The following is a 22,316-nucleotide window of genomic DNA, read 5'->3' on the forward strand; positions in this document are numbered from 1 at the left end:
TGTTTATGAACTTCTATCATCTTTGACTAATGTATTTCTCTCATTTGTACATTTAATAAATTGGAAAATCCAGGATAATAGATCCTGAATCTGATCACTGTATTTCCACTGCTACACTAACAGACATTTATATTTTTCATCTAGAACAGCATAGATATTTCCTGTTGGTCTTCAATTTGTTTATTATGTTTCTCTTGCTGGAAGTGATTTCTGTGAATAGTGAAACCACGTCTGCATTGTTCTCACTTTCCTCAAATCCAAGAGTAATACCTGTTGCCGTAGGAACTCAATAAATCTCTCACTCAAATTGTCTGATTTAATTTTGGCATAATACAATGAAAGATAATGCTACTGTACAATAGAAAATACTGAATAGAGTTGTTTTGTTTGTTTCAGGTTTTGCCTTTATTTGAAGTATCTTTAATTTTGAGCTTTTATTGCGATGGTCATGAATTAAATGTCTGATTAGTTTCCTCTATAGTTCGTATTTTCTTCTGTCTACTTAATTATAATTAGCTACACTTTTCACTTTCTTTTGAATAGAAAGGAGAAATTATGAGACTCTAAAATATAATATCTTCAAAGAGACATCTACTTTATATCTTTTGCTTTTAAATCGGTGTTTTAACAAATCGATCCATAGATACGTAGCTTGAAAAAATCTCAGATTTGTTTTTAGAAGCTCACTGCATGTTTTAGCCCCCAAGGATGAAGTATCAGAAACAGAGTTAAAACAGTGCATTCCACAATTTAAAAATCTTTACCTATGAATAAATAGTTCCTTAATTCCTTGCTCTCTTTTGTCATAGTTGTGTGTCTGTAATACAGAGCCACTAGGTGACATAATTTTTCTTTTGTAGTCTCTCAACTGGCTGAAAAGTAGCCAAATGAATAATCTGGCATAAGTTTTCTGCTCTTGCCTCTGAAGGCTGGTACAGCAGTTGAGCAGCTTATTTAACTGTCCTGTACTCTCGCTTCAGGTATACTCTGCAGGATTGTACTTTAGCACCAAGTATTATTTAATCACCTAAAAGAAAAAAACTCTTTTGCCCAGAAAAAACTCCATTTGTCAATATACCCATAATACCATCATTTCTGGTAAAGAGTACCAATTGGAAAAGTTTAAGAGCTCGCGTAATTTCTCTGGCAGCAGCTACCCTCTGTGTCTATGCAGAACTTACTACTGGTGCTACATTCTAGAAGAAGATTCTCATGGAAAGGGGAAGAGAGAGGGGGAAGAATGCCAGAGTCCTAAGAGCATGGTGTGGGCCTGGCCAATTCACGAAATCAAGCCTTTTCAAATTTTATAGAAATGTGTTATTTCAAAGCACTTTCACAGTTGTTATATTATTTTCACAATGACCCTGTAGGATACGTGTAAAGCAGACAGTATCATTCTCATTTTACAGATAGGAAGACCAGCATAGAGTTCCTGTCTCAATTTCCATATTGCTCCTAATGTCACCAGTATTTTTCCCAAGCAGAGGACCTTAGTGTTCCCTTGGAAGTTCATCTCTTCATTACTTTTCAGTAGAATCCACTGAGCTCTCATAGGATTTCTTCTTTATACTCCATCTCTGGCACTAGCATTCTAGACCACAAATCCTTTCCACCTGCCTAGATTACTTCCATAAATTTTCAGATGTTCTCCCTAGCTATGTTCTCTTCTCCTTTTAGATTGTGTTCAGGAGTTAGACAGTTACAAGGGATTGGTCAAATAAAAAGAATGTTCCAGAGAAAGAGAATGCCAGCTTGGAGTATTCTTGTTCAGTGTTACTGGAGATTGGAGTAGAAGATAAGGAGTTGTATGAGATGAGGCTAAAGATGAAAGCAGCGGGCATATAGCTATTTATATTCTATGCCAAGGAAGATTTATCCTGAAGGCATGAACTTTATTCTAAAAGCAAGGGCATTTTAAGAGCTTTACATATGAAAATGGCATAATCAAATATGGATCCTCAAACACCACACTCAGGTTATAAAGTGAAGAAAATATAATAGTGCATAGGGAAACCAGTACAGTACAAAGAATAGGAGATAATTTGAAAGTCTGCATCAGTAATCTAGTCAAGTCATTATGGTATTCCGCATTAAAGTATTGGCAATGGGGTACATAAAGGTGAGTTGCTTGCTGTTTGAAATTATACAGCAAGTAGAGTTAAAGTATATGGTTAACAATTGGAAGTAGAAGTGACTATTTTAGAAATCAAGAATAATTCAGTAACTCTGACTTGAGAACTAGTTTATGATGCTGTTCTTTCCTGAGTTGATAACACAGGGGTTAAGTTTCAATTTGGAAATGATGGGTGTGAGGTGGATACATCCAAATGGGAAGATGTCTCATGGGCAGTTTAATGTACATGCCAGAGGTTCAGGAAACATAGACACTTAAGTGTCATGAGTATAAATGGAGCAGCTGCTGAATGAATACACAGATGCTTGAATGGAGCCTTGTTTAGGCAGGATGCTAAAAAGGGTGCCGTTTATCTCATTTGCCTTTTCTAGTTTGGGCACCAAGTTGGGATCAAATATATCAAGGAGTTCTCTATTTGGAACAGATATATTTAATTTTAGTAAAATACCAAAAAGGTGATATAAAATCTAAAAAAACCTAATATACACAGTCAAGTACTTAACTATCAACAAGGCATTATTTTAAATCATTTTCTTTTTATGTCATTTAATCTACCCTGAAACTCAATAGTAGTCCCACTTTACAGCAGCTCAAATACATAAAATAAAGGATCCTCATTTGATTAGAAATCCAAGGATGGAATCAAATTACATATAAAGTTTCCTGAGACTATGTGATTAATTTACATGTATTAATGATTACCATATGTCTAGTATCACACTAGATATTGGCCGCCAAAGTTCATATTTTAATTATTTTATGTTAAGCTAGCTACAACGGATGCCCAAAATGGTACTATTAAATATAAATATAGACACATATACAAGCAGTTAACCAAAGTAAGCTCCAACTCATAGACACCTAACCTCAATGTATTCTCTGCCCCTCTGTATACTGAGACCACACAGCAAGAAGAGCCGTCTTTTTTTTTAGACGGAGTCTCGCTGTCTCCCAGGCTGGAGTGCAGTGGCGCGATTTCGGCTCACTGCAAGCTCCGCCTCCCGGGTTCACGCCATTCTCCTGCCTCAGCCTCCTGAGTAGCTGGGACTACAGGCTCCTGCCACCACGCCCAGCTAATTTTTTTTTTTTTTTTTTTGTATTTTTAGTAGAGACGGGGTTTCACAGTGTTTGCCAGGATGTTCTCGATCTCCTGACCTCGTGATCCGCCCGCCTCGGCCTCCCAAAGTGCAGGGATTACAGGCGTGAGCCACCGCACCCGGCCGAAGGGCCATCTTCTTGCTCCCACTGCTGCTGAATCTTCATCCGTGAAATCCTGACACGGTGGTCTATGGAAAGTTAGTTCTCCAACAGTGAGCAAGGTTAACAAAGATCTTGTTGCTTTCATGCCCTATCTCCTGTTTGAAGAAATCTTCAGACTAACATTTCTGACTTCCTGTCTATATCCTATTTTTAAGGTAATGCTATTTGAATGGTCTCTTCACAATTTAAATTCTGTATTCCCATACTCTTGCTCATGGGGATTGTTTATTGGGCCCCCTGGTTCTCTTTCTAATTCTCCTTGATAAACTGAAGTTATCTTAGGTTAATTTCAGGTTACCTTGCCCTTACCCGAAGTAGGCTGGGATATTCTTTAAGTATCTGCTTTTTTGGACATATCTAGATTTTTGTACCCTGACTCGTCACTTTATTCTAAGAACTATCCATTTTGTACTCATCCTTTCTCCTTCGGATTGGTTTCCTCACAAAGGCCAGAGAGACTTGTTATTGGACTGCTGATCGTTGCTGAGTTTTGGTGTCTTTGGTCCTGTGGTGTTCCTCTTCTTCTCTGCTTTGACATCCATTTCCCACTCTTTCCTTGCTTTGCTCTGTGTCACGGAAGTCTGATCTCTGCAAACTATATTTCTCTGGCTCCTGAATAGTTTTAACTAGCAAATGGGAAGTGTTAGCCATAGGTTGGAGACAGGAAGGAAGGGACCGTCCAGGGAACTGCTTCCCCTAGGCTCCATGCAGCAGTTCCAACAGTGGCTGAGTCAGCTTCATGAGTCTGGCTTTTAGAGGGTGCTGGCTCATGGTCACTGTCACCTCCACCTCTTTTAACACTCCAGTGCTAGGAGTGTTACCAGCTCTCTTCTGTTGTTAATCTTTGGGTTGTTTCACTCTCCTCTGGCTTTTTGGCATTTCCAGTACTTGTATAGCTATTCTTGGTGTTAAATGTCTTCCACCACACTATGGCTATGAACTGTGTTTTCCTGACTGGTCCTAGGCCTGTATGTCTTCTACCTCTAGCTGCACTGGAAACTTCCAGCTGATCTGAACTGAATATGGATATCATAACGATGGTCTAAAGGCAAACGTATTTCCCTTATTCAGTCTTGATTCTTCTCTATCTCTCTGTCTTTTTTTTTTTTCCACACTCTCCTTGATTTTTCCTAAAGTTATTTTCTTTCGGGGGCCAGGCTCAGTGGCTCACGCCTGTAATCCCAGACCTTTGGGAGGCCAAGGTGGGCAGATCACCTGAGGTTAGGAGTTTGAGACCAGCCTGGCCAACATGGTAAAACCCCATCTCTACCAAAAATACAAAAAATTAGCCAGGTGTTTGTGGCGGGCGCTTGCAATTCCAGCTACTCAGGAGGCTAAGGCAGGAGAATTGCTTAAACCCAGGAGGTGGAGATTGGAGTGAGCTGGGATCACACTATTGTACTCCAGCCTGGGTGACAAAGTGAGACTCCGTCACACACACACACACACAGTTGTTTTCTTTATACTTGTTTTTTCCAGACTCCTTGGTTTGGTTTCACTTGCTTGTGTGTTACTATAGTTTGTTTGTTACCATATTCCATACCTTTCTGTATTGGAATTATTACTTGTTTATATCATAAATAATATAGTTGCCAAGATTTTTCAGCCTTTTTATACAGAAAGCTAAAATTTAGACTCTGTATATACATTTCCCCTCAATAGATGTCAATTTCATCTTAAGTTCAAATCTTTTCAATGTGAAAAAATATGATCCTTTATTTTCTACAAAATTGTTAGCTATAGCTCTTAGCAGATACCCAAAAATTCAGAAGCAGCTTTTGAATTTCTGCTAAAAGAGTGGACTTTATTACCTTCCTTGGCTTTTGTAAGGAAAAGAGGCATTTTCAGATATTAAGTCTTGATTTATTATACTTGCACTTAGTCACACACACACACGAAACAGAACAACAACAAAACAAAATTTTTCTCTGCCTACTTTTTCTTTTGCATCATTAATCATTCTATCTCTCCAGGGTTGGCATTTGAAACCATTTCAGGCACGTCTACATATATAGGTTTTAAGAATATTCATCACATTCTATATTTTAATAAAATTATATATTTTTATTTCCTCAAAAATAATAAACTTTGAATAACCTTTGTCTTAATCACATTTGAACATCTAACAGCCTATTCATCACACTTTGCATATAATAAATGCCAATAGTTGTTAGTTGAATTGAGCTAAATATAAAAACACTCAAATATGGAAATGTTTAAAAATCAATAGTAATTTCTTGTCACTTTAAAATATTGTTAGCCAAATTCTTTCTATCTTTTCTTAGTACATAATGCTATTTAAGGCTCTGAAAGTAAGTATGCTTCCATAGCATCCTGCTTGAAAAAAATTTGTGGCCCAGATTCCATAAGATTATGATGGAAATAACTTCTGGTAAAAAACCTGACACTTTGAAAGAGATCAACAAATGGATGCTGTTGAATGAATGAATTACCAGTTACTGAAGCTAATAATGAACTACATCATCCTGACTCGGCCCAGACCTGTACATTCTTTCTTCCACTTCTAATTGCATTGGAATCTTCCAGCTGTTTTAACTGAATATGGATATGACAATGATGGTCTAAAAATAAAAGCATTTTTATGACTCCTATTTTATTCATGTTTTCATGCTTATGATTCTTAGCCACAAATATTTTCTCAATATGCTTTTAAAAATTGAATAAGATAATTTTTAGAGCTTGATTTTCACTTGCTTTGATTCCTTTGTAGTCTAAATATGAGTTTTATTGGTAGAGGAATAGAAAATACTATATTGTGCTAGGAAGTATTTTGGGGATCCTACCTTTCAACAGTGTATTTTACAATGATATTCTTTTTATCATGTTGTTAATATTTAGCTCATGATAAAATCCTTATCCTTGGATCCCAGGTAAAATTAAACAGTATAACAACAGTTATCTTAACCTTCTACACATAGTTTTTTTTGGTGAATATTTGAAGGTAGGAGAGGCATCCTATTTGACTGTGTTTTTTTAGAGCTTCAAATGCCATCACACTGTACCCAGTACAGTGTTGTTGCAAATGACAGGATCTCGTACTTTTTATGGCTGAATAGTATTCCACTGTGTATATGTACCACATTTTCTTTATTCATCTGTTGATGGACACTTAGGTTGCTTAACAGTGGCTATTGTGAATAGTGTTGCAATAAACATGAGAGTGTAGATATCTCTTCAATATACTGATTTCCTTTTAGTTTTTCAAGGAAACTCCTTATTGTTTATACTGTTCTCCATAGTGCTTGTACTAATTGACATTCCCACCAACAGTGTATGAGGTTTCCCTTTTCACCACATCCTTACCAGCATTCATTATTGCCTGTCTTTTGGATGAAAGCCATTTTAACTGGGGTGAGATGACATCTCCTTGTAGTTTAAATTTGCATGTCTCTGATGATCAGTGATGTGGAGCACCTTTTCATATACTTGTTTGCCATTTTTGAGAAATGTCTATTTTAGATCTTTTGCTCATTTCTAAATCCAATTCACAGAGTTTTTCAAACTTAGTTGTTTGAGCTCCTTATATATTCTGGTTATCAATTTCTTGTTAGGCAGAGACGCTTATTCTGTCTCCTTACTTTCCTCCAAACAAATGGAGTCTTCTCTCTATGCTGAGCTGCCTGGGTCTGGGAAAAGGGTGACATAAGCTCTCCTGTGTCCACCACCACCACTGGGACTGTGCTGCATCAGACCTGAAGCCAGCACAGCACTGAGTCTTGCCCACAGCCCGCAGTGACCACTGCCTGTCTATCTTCACTCAAGGCCCAAGGGCTCTCCAGTTAGCAGGTGGTGAATCCAGACAGGCTTGGGTCCTTCCCTTCAGGGCAGTGAGTTCCTCTCAGCCCTGGGAAGGTCCAGAGATCCTGTCAAGGAGCCCAGGCCTGGAGTTGGAAACCTTAGGAATCTACCTGGTACTCTATTCGACTGCAGCTGAGCTGGCACCCAACGCACAAGACAAAGTCCCTCCTACTCTTCCTTCCCCTTTTCTCAATTGAAGAGTCTTGTTCCATGGCCACCACTGCCCCAGGCCCACAGTGAGCATTGCCTGGCTACTCCGATATTCACTTAAGGCCAGAGGGCTCTTTAATCAGCTTGTGGTAAATGCCTTCAGGCCTGGATCTCTTCCTTCAGAACAGTGGGCTTCCCTCCGGCCCAGGGCAGGTCTAGAAATGCCATCCAGGAGCCAAAGTCTGAAACTGGGAAACCAAAGGAGTCTGCTTTGTGCTGTACTCCACTGTGGCCAAGCTGGTACACAAGCTGCAAAAGTCTCCTTTACTCTTCCCTCTCCTTTCCTCAAGCAGGAGTCTCTCCCCATAACCACCACAGCTGGGAATGTGCTGGGTCACACCTGAAGCCAGCAAGGCTCTGGGTCTCTTTGAGTCTCTGAGCCAGGGCCCAAAGCAAGTACTGCCTGGCTACCACTGCTGATTATTCAGGGCCCAAGGGCTCTTTAATGTGCAGATGATGAATCTTGCCAGCACTGGGTCTTTTCCTTCAGGGAAGCCCAGGGTGTGTCTACACGTGCTCTTCTGGCCCAGGGTGTGTCTAGACGTGCTATCTGGGAGCTAGGGCCTGGAATGTGGGCCTTAGAACTCTGTCTGGTACCCTATTCTACTGTCAGTGAGCTGACCCAAGTTGCAAGACAAAGTCCCCTTTACTCCCACTTCTCCTCTCTTCAAGCAGAGGGATGGAGTCTCTCCCAGAGCTGTGAGTTGCACTGCCTGGGGTTGGGGGAGGGGTGATGCAGACACTCCCTTGGCTGCCCTAGCTGGTGCCTCACTAGGTCAAATGTACCCCAAGTGCACCGCCTTTGAGACCAGCACAGCACCAGGACTCGTCCAGGAATTGTAATCCATATGGCCTAGACTGCCATTTCAAGTTTATTTAGGACCCCAGAGCACTTTAGCCCATGATGGCAGGGCTTGCCCAAACTCAAGTTCCACTCACTGGCATGGATGATTTGCCTCCGACTAGGACTGGTCTAAATGTTCTGTCAGCCACCAACCGAGTTCTTCACTGTATTGCTTTCCACTGTTACACAATAGCTGAGCTCCGAGGCAACATGTCACAATCCCTGTGCTCTTCCTCCCCCAGGTGCACAGATTCTCACTCCATGCCACATATCTGCTGTGGGGTGGAGGGGAGGGTGATGTAGGCAATTCAAGACTGTCTTTCCTATCCTCTGCAGTGCCTCTTTCTTTAATATGATGCTAAAAATCAGATATTGCGATTGCTCATCTGGGTTTCTGTTCTTATGAGGATGCTTTTTTGTGTGGATAGTTGTTGGATTTGATGTTCCTGTGGGGGTGGGGGTGGCAATCATTGGAGGCTTCTATTTGGCCATCTTTCTCTGCCTCCCTCTCTGATTATTTTATTTTTGAGAGTTCTCAGGAGGCTATATGATGCAATTCATGATATCTCTTACTACACTTGTAAAATGCTTTGCACATAAGTAAACTATAGAGCAGTATACAAATGGATATTGGTGTTTAGTTATTTTTGACCAATTGTTCTCAATATTAGCTTAAAAATATGACATACTATCTTACGTAATGTTTTAAATAAAGATATATATGGAAAAAGATGACAAATTCAGATCAGTTCTACTTTTCCTATATAATGATTAAATTGTACCATGTTTTAAATGGTGCTTACGTATAATTAATTAATTATTATTTGATCTATGCCGTAGATCCTTGCCCAAGTTTTTGGAACATGGACTTTGGATGGAGATCTGGATGCAAGGACTTTAGAGTGGAATGAACCAGGGGATTCCACCTGAATTCATGTGAGAGAAGTGGGACTGGGAAGAAAGAGAAGGTGAACTGCAATGCAAGTTAAAAGGAAGCCTCAGAAATCCATGGGAAGCTCTGAAACTGGAGTGACTGTTCAGAGATAGTTTAAGTGGAAGTACAAGGCCCACTTATATTTCAGCATCAACCAGCCACTCTGTGAACACAGATGTGAGGGTGGGAATATACAATCCAGGAATGATCGCAGATGTGAGGGTGGGAATATACAATCCAGGAATGAACACAGATGTGAGGGTGGGAATATACAATCCAGGAATGAACACAGATGTGAGGGTGGGAATATACAATCCAGGAATGAACACAGATGTGAGGGTGGGAATATACAGTCCAGGAATGAACACAGATGTGAGGGTGGGAATATACAATCCAGGGAGGGGGCTCCCTTCAGGTAAAAGTATTATTAGATTGGTGCAAAAGTAATCGCAAAAGGTATTTTGCCACTTTTAATGGCAAAAACGCAGTTAATTTTGCACCAACCTAAATACCTGGGAGGGACTCGGCTTTTGCTTAACAGTAGCCTATATTTCTGGCAGAGAGAGAAAAATAGATCACAGTCCAGAGGAAGAATCTATATAGCATACCCAGCCAATCTCTGTTAAATCTAGAATAATTTTCACCAATTTTTTTCTATTCTGAGTAAAGTTGAAATCATAGAACAACATAGCATGACAGAACCTTGGAGATTATTTAATTCCACGTCCTCATTTGATTGATGCATTAACATTAAGTATATTTTTAAGGACATAAAATATATACAGGATTAAAATCAAAATGATGTAGACTTTTTCTTGACCTCTTGACTCTTATTTTCTACTTTATTAGCACAGATAATTTTTGAAGTTGTGGGTTTTAGTCAAAGATTTGAGTTTAAAATGGGCCTGTACTATTAACTGGATGCAGTATATAATTGATAATTTTAAAATGTTTCCTGAATAAGTAATTTAATAAAAGGAAAATTCATACAATAGCCCTGAAGAGCAGGAGGCATGAAATAGCCAGCAGTACTAGCTACATGATCCTCAGTTTCTTCCTAAGTGCACATAATATTAACCTTGTGTTATGATTGTGTGAATAAATTAAGATGTGCTAAGTGCTTTTCTTAATGTTTATCATGTGGTCACTGCTTGTTGAATTCAAGTTGCCTACTGCAAATTCCTCTATGTGAGCTTTAATGCCTGAATCCAGCTTGGAGACTGATATGAATAAGCCATGAATTAACTACAAAAATGATCATTATGGCCTCAACTTTGTACAATGAATGTCAATTGTTAGTTTAAATTGGCCACTCTGTAAGATCAGACATCCATAGCCACATAATGACCATATTCATGACCAATCTGGCCTTACTCTCCCTAACAAACTTTGAATTTATGACTTCCTAACCAACTTTGAATTAATGACTTTCTAACATATCCTCAATTGTAGTGGCCATGGTCTATTCACTTTCCTATGCTTGCCACATCAATTTCTCCTTCCAGCCACGAAGTATGACGGTCCACACTAGTCTACTCCAGGAAATGAATGGTCACCTCCTTCTTATAGAGCCACATCTGAATGTCTTTTATCCCTTTTGCACACAAGGGGTCTATGCATTATTTCATTTCCTGTATTTCTTTATATTCTCTGAAGTCTTTTAGCATTTACTAATACATTGTATCCTCTTTTTTAAATCAGATGTTTGGGAGTAATTTATATATAGTAAAATTCTACTTCTGATTGTACCATTTGATGAACTTTGACAAATTTACACTGTCCTTTAACTAACACTACCATCAAGTTATAGAACATTTCCCTCACCACAAAAGAAAGTTTCCTTATGACTCTTTGTAGTTACTCCTGTACTCTCCCACCCCAACACCTGACCTTGAACCTATTTTCTGTCTCCATAGTTTTTGCCTTGTTCAGATGTCATTTAAATGGAACTGTACAATATATGTGTCTTCTGGCATTATGCCTTTTGGATGTTTCCATATTGTTCTATGTATTGATAGTTTATTTTAATGGTTAAGTAGCATTTCATTATACAAAAATGCCACAATTTGTTTATATATTTACAAAACCGATGGCTATTCAGCTTTGCTCCAGATTTTGGCTCCTATGAATAAGGTTTATGTATTTACATTCAGATCATTTTATGGAGAAATTTTTCTTTGGAAATAATTCTGAATTAGAGTGCTGGGTTACAAAGTAGGTGTATGTGTAACAGGATATGGAAATGCCAATCATTTTTCCAAAATGCCTGTACCATTTTGCATTACCACAAGCAATGTATGAGTGTTGTAGTTGCACCACATATTCACCAAACTTGGTATTGTCAATGATATTTTTCAAACTTTAGATATCAAGTAGGTATGTAGTGACATGTCATTGTGGTTTTAATTTGCATTTTCCTAATGACTAATGATTTTGAGCATCTTTTCATGCCATTCATACTCTTTGGTGGAGTGTCTATTCAAATCTATTGCTTATTTTAAGAATTATCTTCATATTAATTCCTAAAAGTATGTATATATTCTAAAATGCCTTTATTAAATAGGTGTTTTGCCCATTTTTCTCTCCTAGTCTATAGCTTGTCTTTTCAATCTATTAACAGTATATTTTGGGAAGCAGAAATTTTTACTTTTGAAGAAGCACAATTTATTTTTTTCTAAGTTATTTATGTTCATATCCTGTTTAAGAAACCTCTGCCTAATCAGTAGCCATGAAAGTTTCCCCCATGTTTTGTTTTAGAACTATTGTAAATTCAGCTCTTATATATTCAAGTTAATCATCCATTTAGTTGTTCCCTGTCTAAGACATGAGTTAAGGGCTGAGGCTCATTTTTTTGTACATGATGTCCAGTTGTTTCAGTACTATTTGTTTCAGTACTATTTAGTGCTTAAAACCATTCTTCCCCCTTTGAATTACCTTGGTACCTATTTTTTGTAAAACAATAGAATATATATGTACAGGTTTTTACCTTTCATTTTGGATTAGTGGAGAGATCAAAATTTTGGAATTATATTAGAATTTAAACCCTGTCTCTATCATTTTCTAGCTGTTTTTCCAAGTCCGTTTATCATAAATCTGTGTCCTGATCTAGGAAAAGGTGAGTATAATATGTGACTTTTGAGGTTTTTTAAAAAAAGTCTGTGAAACAAGTAAGATACATCAATTCTTTTTGTGTCTAGCAGATACAAAATACTGGTATGTCTGTTTCTTTCTAACAATTTGTGAATCTTTCTTTCCTAATTAGATTGGTAGCCTCTTAAAGACAGGGGCTAATTTTGCTACCCTTACAACAGGAGCCACAAACTCCAGCATAGAAGTTGTGAAGACACTGAAGGAGGTTTGAGTCTTCCAAGAAGGTATTGAAGGGAATGATCAATGATGTGTAAGCAAATTATTAAACTAATCCAGGCTCAAGGGATGTCAAGAATGTTGGGATGTGACTACACTCTTGAATAAGACACAGTGCTTTGTGTCACCTCTTCTTTGTTCAACAGGACAAGAAATCAAACATGAATCCTAGTGGTTCAGACCAAGGGTTTGATGGCATTTTTTTCTTTAAAAGCCACTATATTATTTTACAAGGTTTTTTCTCTCCATTCTGAACGCTTGAAATTAAATGTTTATTTAAAATGCACAAAATTCCCATCCATAAATCAGGCAGTGTTGATGATTACTTCAGGAAGGTTTTATGTAAGAAGAGGCAAGAGTTCATTGCTCTCAAGGAATTTGTTATTTAAACTAGATGCAGCTATGTTTCAAGGACAGATTGTTGAACTGAAAGTCAAATAGTTCAGCTCAAATTCCACTTCTGGCTTTTAATAGAAAACAAGTTGTTGACCAGCCTTAATGTCAACTTTATTATTGGTAAATTGGCGCTAATTTCACCTTAAAAGCTCTTTGCAAGTCTGAATGAGATAATGTGAAAGCACTTTGTAATCATTAGTATCCTATACAAATATAACTCATTGTTATTAATAAGACTCAAAGCCAACTTTAGAAAAGACTATGTTACTTGTTGATCAATGAAAATGACCCCTGGAGACCTCCTTCCCCAAATCAACCCACATTCTACTAAGATGTAATACTAGTTGTCATTTAACCATATGTAACCCATTGCTTTATGTTAAGTAAGCCTTTTCAGGTTTTCATTTAAAATGGAAATGCCTCTCAGAAGAGGAGAGTAATAATTAAAGTCACAGCTTGCAGTGAATAGGTCTCAAGGACCTTTATTTTGATTATAGCAGTAATTTCATGAGAATATATATCAACAGTTAAGAATGTATGTGATATGCAATTCATTGTATGTCGATTGTATCTCAAGAAACCCGTTAAAGAAATGTCAGATTTCTTCCATTTAACCAATAAATATCTACTGAGCATCTAACATGAACTATCCAAGATACAGGTGATAGGTTAGTAAGACGGAATGGTCCTGATAGGTTCAGATCTTATGGAGAATATAGATTCTAAGAAGCCACTACTGTAAAATTTTATGTATGTTATACTATGATAAGTACAAGTTATTCCAAGAACATAGACATAACTTATTAAAGATTGTGTTGTCAATATTCAACACAACACCATGCAGTTCTAACCATGCAGGTCAGCAAATCCTCTAGGTCACTTACGAATTTGTTGCAGTTTCTATATATTCAAGTGGATTTGTACCTTATGCCCCTGCATTTTGCTGCCTTAGGGTTTTCCTTGGTTGCAGGGACATGATCAGTTATCACATGGGGCAGGCTTAAAAAGCCAGAGGTAAAGAGAGAATGCAGACAATAAACTATGAGAATTGCTGTATAAATCCCCAACTTTCTTGCCATCTTGTGGGACAATTCTAAGCTATTTTCCATATGATTTCTCAGACTAGCCCAGAGATGGAGACCTAGTCACCCACTCTGGTAAACTCTCCATTAATACACCATTTAGAGCTGTGGTGTATTGCACCTCCCTTCCTGCTTTTAGGTCCCTACTTCCTCATTATGCTTCCCAGGATCACCTTCGCTAAGATCTACATGTACACAAACTCTGGTCCTGGGGTCCGATTTTTAAAGACCCTAAATTAAAGCATTTCTTAAATTGGTATTATTTTAATGTATTTTATATTTTATATAATTTTTTGCTGTGCGGAAAATAGTTTGTAGGGAACGTGCCCAATTTCACGCAGATAGATAAGTAGTAGGTGGACACAAATCTCTTTTCTTTGTGCTGTAGAGCTTTCCTGAGAATATAGCATTAGACGTATGTTGAACAGATTCACAGATACAAGTGGGCTATGATGGAGGCAATGTTTAAGTGGCAGTAAATCCATGCTTTTTTCTTGCTTCTGCCTCTAACTGGCTGGGACATCCTAGGCAAGATAGTTGCTATCACTGGGCATTAGCTTTTCCATCTGTAAAATTAGGATATTGGTCCAGATATTCTCTCAGGATTCTTTCTGTTCTAGCATCTTATAATCCTACAATTATATTAACTCAGAATTAATTTTTTCAAAATACACATGTGGGAACTTTTCAGAGATACTTGTTGACCTCAGAAAATATATTAAACAAGGTTTGTTGGACAGTGGGTTTAAAACCAGTCATGTCTTACATAGCATTCCTCATTTTAGGTTGCTGTTTATCTGTAGTAATGAACAGTAATTTAGGTTACTGAAAGATAATCATATAATTTAAATGAGATATTTCCTTAGAAACAAAATACTGGTTCAAACTTCAGTTCTGTGACAGTGTGACTAGGATCTTGCATGTCTCCTGATATTTTTCACCATTTCCTAAAACTATTAATGGAAGTAATAATACTAATATCCATTTTCAATTGTTATGAGGATCAAAGAATGAATATAACTGATCATTACCTAAGAATTCCATATACATCAGCTTTTGTTAAAATGTGCATATAAATCTTTACTTTGATCCTTTATTAATTTTGTGTGTTAGGGAAAAAATTAGCAAAGAGGAAATATAACATGTACTGAAATGATAAATAAGCTTTGGTTTAGAAAACTAATATGATGGGAATGTGAATCTTTTGCTCTGGGAACTCTGTTCCCTCATATTGAAAACAATAGACAAAAATTCAAGCTGTTATATACATTTTGGTGAGAACAAAAACTTTCAATCTCTACCATTTCTTCCTCTATGGACCAATGCTAACTTCTGGGTTTTAGGCCTAAACCACTCACCTTTCTTTGTAAATATAAGGAAAGAATTAAATTAACAAATATTCTAAAAAGTCATGTGGTCAGTACATGACATAAATTGTACTTAATGCTCATAAAGACACTGTGAAGTGGCTATACTATGTATTTTTCAAATGAGGAGTCTGAGGTTGAGAGAGAAAATTTGTTTTGCTCAGGATCATATATCTGGCTGTTAGAGATAAAAATTCAAACTCAGATCCATCTGGCACTTGCTGATAATTTATCCAATCTCTGGTTACTGTAGGGCAACATTTAGATTAATGGAACTCTGTCTGGAAAATGTACAAACAGCATAATTATAGATGAAGAGAATCTCTGAAAAGATTTGTTTTTAAGGTCCCTATCAAAATAATATTAAACCTCAAACCCAGGTCCTCTCTGGTCCTACTCTGATTCAAATAGCAACAGGAGTTGGAGGTTATTAGAGATGAATTACTCTCTAGAGAAGGAAACAACTACTGGTGCCGTTCAAGATGCATTTATCTTGCCTTTCTACTAAACTGCCATCAGGCAGATATACTTATTTTCCACCCAAGGGGCAATGACTTCAAAAGAAAAACTAATTTTCTACACTACTGAATTGAAAAGATTGAATATTCAATATTTAGAAGCTTATGAAATCCAGTGTTAGTACTTGAATCTGTTATAGGCTGTAAAATATTACTTAGAGCCTTTGTGATTTTATAGTTATATAATTATTACAAAAAATTAATGCTAAATATAATCAAGATGTTAAGGAATTTGATTTTATAATGAGCTCTATAACTAAGAGTGGTGTAGAAACACAGCACCGTACATATTTTATTCTTGGTTTCTGTTGAAACATTTTGGGGAACAACTAACATTTTTTAAAGATTTAAGACTATAGCTTCCATCAATAGCACAGCTGGTAGAACAGAAGACTATAGTAGCCACCTTAAAGAAAGAAAATGCCAGCCAAGAATTTTATATCTTGCCAAACTAAGCTTCATAACTGAAGGAGAAAAGAGGTCTTTCCCAGACAAATAAATGCTAAGGGAACTCATCACCACTAGACCTGCACTACAAGAAATGCTCAAAGGAGTTCTAAACATAGAAAAGACAATACCTGCCGTCATAAAGTGACCCATAAATACAAAGCTCACAGATTTTATACAGCAATTATACAATTAAAAGTCTAAGGCAACTATCTAACAACTCAATGACAGAAATCAAACCTCATATATTGATATTAATTTTGAATGTAAGTGGCCTAAGTGCTCCACTTAAAAGATACAGAGTGGCAAATTGGATAGAAAAGTAAGACCCAATCATCTGCTACCTACAAGAGACCTACCTGTTGGCTAAAGCAGCTATAGACTAAAATAAAGGAGTGGAAAAAGATATATCACACAAATGGAAAACAAAAGCAAGCAGGAGTAGACATCCTCATCTCAGAGAAAACAGACTTAAAACAAACAACAGTTAAAAAAAAGATTAAAAAGGGTATCATATAATGAATGATGAAAGGTTCAATACAACAAGATTTAACTATTGTAAATATATATGTTCCCCAAATTGGAGCATCCTGACTCATAAAATAAATACTACTAAACCTAAGAAAAGAGACTGAAATCAATACTGTGAATAGTGGTGGACATCATTACCCCACTGAGGTAACTAGACTGAGCATCAAGGCAGAAAGTCAGTAAAGAAACTCTGAACTTAAACTGAGCTATAGACCAAATGGACCTAAAGGACATTTACAGAACATTCCATGCAAGAACTATAGAATATACATTCTTCTTATCTGCACACGTAATCTTCACAAAAATTGATCATATGTTTGGCCATTAAGCACATCTCAATAAATTTAAAAAATTGAAACCATATCAAGTATCTCCTCAGACAACAGCAAAATAAAATATAAAAGAACACCAAGAAGAACTCTCCAAACTACACAAGTACCTGGAAACTAAGCAATTTGCTCCTGAATGACTTTTAGGTAAACAATGAAATTCAGGGAGAAATAAAACTTTTTTGAAAACAGAAACACATGGAAACTTCTGGGATACAGCAAAAGCGGTGCTAAGAGGAAAGTTTATAACATTAAATGCCTACATCAAAAAGATAGGCATTTAACAACCTAATATTGCACCTCAAGGAACTAGAAAAATATCAAACCTGAAGCTAGCAAAATAAAAGAAATAACAAAGATCAGGGCAGAACTAAATGAGATTGAGGCCAAAAAAATATTTAAGGACCAACCAATCAAGAAGTTGGTTCTTTAAAAGGATAAGCAAAATTGACAGACCACTAGCTAGAGTAACCAAGAAAAGAAAGATAAAATTTAAATTAGTACAATCAGAAATTATAACAGTGATCTTACAACTGAAACTAAAGAAATATAAAAGATCATCAGAGACTACTATGGACACCTCTGTATACACAAACTAGAAAACTTAGAGGAAATGGATAAATTCCTGGCAATACACAACCTCCAAAGATTGAACCAGGAAGAAATAGAAACCCTGAACAGATCAATTATAAATAATGCAATTTAATCCATAATAAAAAATTGTCCAACAAAAAATAAGCCCAGAATCACATGAATTCACAGCCACATTTTACCAAGTGCACAAAGAAGAGCTGGTATCAATCTTACTGAAACTATTACAAAAAAATCAAAGAGGAGACATTCCTCCCTAACTCATTCTATAAAACCGGAATCATGCTGATACCAAAAGCAGACACAACTAAAAAACAAGACTGCACGCCAATAGCCATGATGAACATAGATGTAGAAATTCTCAATACTAGCAAACCAAAAAGATAATTATTCACAATGAAGTGGGTTTTATTCCAGGGATTCAAGGATAGTTTAACATTTGCAAATCAATAAATGTGATTCACCACATAAACAGAACTAAAAATAAAAACCATATGATCATCTCAATAGATGCAGAAAAGGCATTCTATGAAATCCAACATCCCTTCATGATAAAAATCCTCAAAAAATTAGGCATCAAAAAAACATACATCTGGCTTGGCGTGGTAGCTCACACCTGTAATCCCAGCACTTTGGGAGGCTGAGGAAGGTGGATCACTTGAGGTCAGGAGTTTAAGACCAGCCTGGCCAACATGGCAAAACCCCACCTCTACTAAAAACACAAAAATTAGCCAGGTGTGGTGGCGCACACCTGTAATCCCAGCTACTCGGGAGGCTGAGGCAGGAGAATCACTTGGACCTGGGAGGCAGAGTTTGCAGTGAGCCAAGTGAGCATAGTGAGTCACGCCACTGCACTATAGCCTGGGTGACAGAGTGAGACTCAATCTCAAAAAAAAAAAAAAAAAAAAAAAAAAAGACTCCATCTCAAAGAAAAACAAACAACAACAACAAAAAAACACACACACACACACACATCAAAATAAGAGCCATATAAGATAAACCCACGGCCAACATTGTGCTTACTAGAGAAAAGTTGATAACATTCTCCTGAAGAGTTGAAACAAGACAAGGATGTTCACTCTCACCACTCCTGTTCAATATAGTACTGACAGTCCTAGTCCGAACAATCACACAAGAGAAAGAAATAAAAGGCATCCAGATTGGAAAAGAGGAAGTCAAATTATCTCTGTTTGCTGATGACATAATTATATGCCTAGAAAACTCTAAAGCCTCTTCCAGAACACCCCTAGACTTGATAAACAACTTCAGTAAAGTTTCATTATACAAAATCAATCTACAAAAATCAGTAGCCTTTCTGATTTTTAATTTATGTATACTCATAATGTTCAAGCTGAGAACCAAATCAAAAATTCAACTGCATTTACAATAGCCACCAAAAAATATCCAGGAGTGCATTTAATTAAGGAGATGAAAGATCTCCATAATGAGAACTACAAACTACTGATGAAAGAACTCATAGGTGACACAAACAAATGGCAAAACATCCCGTGCTCATAGTCTGGAAGAATCAATATCATTAAAATGACCATACTTCCCAAAGCCATTTAGACAGGGACTGGTAATCCCTATTAAAATGCCCAATTCATTCATTTTTCACAGGATTAGAAAAAAGAAAAAAACAAGTATAAAGTCCCCTACAAAAAAAGAGGCTGATTAGCCAAAGCAATAAAAAAGAACAAAGCTGGAGGTAACATATTGCCTGACTTCAAATCATACTATGAGGCTGTAATAACTAAAACAGCAATGGTATTTGTACAAAAATAGACAAATAGATCAATGGAACAGAATAGAGAACGCAGAAATAAAACCACATGCGTACAACCAACTGATCTTCAACAAAGTTGGCAAAAATAAACAATGGAGAAAGGATACCCTATTCAATAATAAAAACGAACAAAATCATGTTCTTTGCAGCAACATGCATGGAACTGAAGGCTATTACCCTAAATGGACTGATTCAGAAACAGAACATAAAATACTAGTTGTTCTCACTTATAAGTGGGAGGCAAACAATGGATATGCATGAACATATAGATTGAAAGACACTGGGGATTACAAAAGGAAGGAGGGTGGGAAGGGGTGAGGGTTGAAAAATAACCTTTTGGGTACAAGGCTCACTATTTGGGTGACGGGTACCCTAGATGCCCAATTTCTACTAGTATGCAACATCTCACGTAACAAACATGTCCATGTATCCTAAAATAAAATAAAATTTTAAAAACTTAAGAGTACAAAAAAGTTACAGGGAAAAGCCTATATTTGGAGGAGGAATGTCAGATCATGTCATGACTAGTATTCTGTTCAATTTAATTGATTCCTTCCAAACATGCACATATTCTTTCACTTATTATGAATATTAATTCATCACTCCCTATGTTTTTGGCAAAGTTCTAGATCCTGGATTGCAAATTTAAATACGGTGATAAGGAAGAGTCTTAATCAGAAAGTATCATTTGAGCAAACACCTGAAATAAGAAAGTGAGTCATATAGATGTGTATGTGTTCCTTGGGCGGGGGAAGTGCGTAATTGAAGGCAAGGGAAGCTGCAAGTATAAAGACCCTGAGTTTGAAATGTAATAGCATGGGAAATGTAATAGTATACATTTGAAATGTAATAGTTGGGAAGAGTATGGGAATAGTTGAGAAGATGGGAAGAGTTGAAATGTAATAGCATGGGATGAAATAGCATGAAATGTAATAGTATGGGAATAGTTGGGAATATGGGAAGAGTTGGGAATAGTTGGGAAGAGTATTTCAAATATACATTTGAAATGTAATAGTTGGGAAGAGTATGCAGATCAAATGTGGTTAGAATGGATTGAGAAAGTAGGGAAGTATTAAGAAAGATGATCATTTGGCCATTAACAGGAGCCAGATCATATAGAGCTTGGAGTACATTGTAATGACTTTGGATTTTATTCTAAGCAACAGAAAGAAAGAAGCATTATAGAGTTTTAGATTAGAGATTTTAAAGAGATCAATTTAGCTCCTCTGTTGAAATTAGACTGTGGCAGAATAGGGAAAGGACAGAAGAAGGTGTTCTACATGGGCAATATTTGTAGTAATCTAGGTGAAACAGAATGATGATGTGGCCAAAGTGGAAGCATTGTAAGTAACAAAAAGTGATTGCATTATGCATTTCTTTTGAATGTAAACTTAAGCAATAATAAGGATAGATTGGATATGAGATATTGGACAAAGATAGAAGTCAAAGATGATGTGACTCCAAGTTTTGTGAAAGGATGGACTTGTTATAAATTTGATGAACACAGTAAGGATTTTTCTTTTTTGGTGTGGCATGGGTATGAGAAGGAATCAGGAGTTCAGTTTAGTATGAGATTCTATTAGACAAAAGAGTGGAGATATTGTTTATATATTGAATATATAAGTCTCAAGAATAACAGAGAGGTTCTCATTATAAACATGCATTTGGAAGCTTTCAGTAAATATATATTATCTAAAGACGTGAAATTTGATGAGATCATTAAGGAAGTATATGAAGAAAGACAAGTTAAGAAGCGTAAGGAAATGCTTCAGAGCACTTAGTTGTTAAAGTCTCACCTCATCTTTTAAGGCATGAAAAAGGAAAAGGAGAAGAGACTGAGAATTAAGAGCTAACACTGTAGGAAAAAAAATAAATAAATAAGGACAGTGTGATGTCCTGGACACCAAGGAAGGAGTGTTTCAGGGTGGAGTGTTAAATGATTTTGATAGATAAACATGTGAGGAGTGAGAATTACATCAGCAATATCGAAGTCATTGGTGACACTGACAAGGGTAATTTTTTTGTGATGCAGTAAGAAAGGCAAAATTCTGTTTGTAGTGGTGGATTTAGGAGAGAATAGGAAATGAGGAGCTGGAGACTGTCAATATGGATGATTCTTTAAAAGAACTTGGCTTTAAAGAGAGCAGAAGAATTGAGATGATGTCAGGAGGATGGAAGTGAAATCAAGAGAAGTTCCCTTGTAATAAAATGTGAGAAATAACAGTGTGTGTATGCTGATAGGATTAATTCAAGAGATAAAATTGAGATACAAGGTGGGGGGCAGTTGATAGGGCAGCATTCTTGCGTATGTAAAAAGTAATCGCTAAGAGAGGAAGAGGCAAAGCTTAACTAGGGGTATGAATGGCTTATCCACTCTAAAGTGGGAGAAAGCAGATTATGCAGACATTGATATTATAAACTAAACAGATACAGAAGTAGGAGTTTATGGAAATTCTGTTATGAATGACTGTATGAGAAACCGGTGTTTTATGGCTGTCTTTGCCCTACATGATAGAGATAATATGATCCTCAAAGCCTAAAATATCTACTGTTTGGACCTTTTTGGATAAATATTTGCTAATCTTTTAAAGAGACTGGAACTACAGAGTTCCAGCTTAGTCATTTATTCAAAAAATCTTTAATAAGCGTCTATTATATACCAGGTTCTTTGCAAGGTAGTAAAATAAAAAACACTATAGAAA

The 22,316-nt window shown here is 36.7% G+C and overlaps 1 annotated feature.

The window, feature by feature from the left end:
* Nucleotides 7,052-7,552: an enhancer, noted in NCBI's record as "H3K27ac hESC enhancer chr8:123118688-123119188 (GRCh37/hg19 assembly coordinates)". NCBI's record gives its function as "activates a minimal SCP1, AML or CMV promoter by ChIP-STARR-seq in naive H9 embryonic stem cells {active_cell/tissue: H9 hESC(naive)}" and the evidence as "EXISTENCE:reporter gene assay evidence [ECO:0000049][PMID:30033119]".

Source organism: Homo sapiens, chromosome 8 (assembly GCF_000001405.40).
Source record: "Homo sapiens chromosome 8, GRCh38.p14 Primary Assembly".
Taxonomy (NCBI): Eukaryota; Metazoa; Chordata; class Mammalia; order Primates; family Hominidae; genus Homo; species Homo sapiens.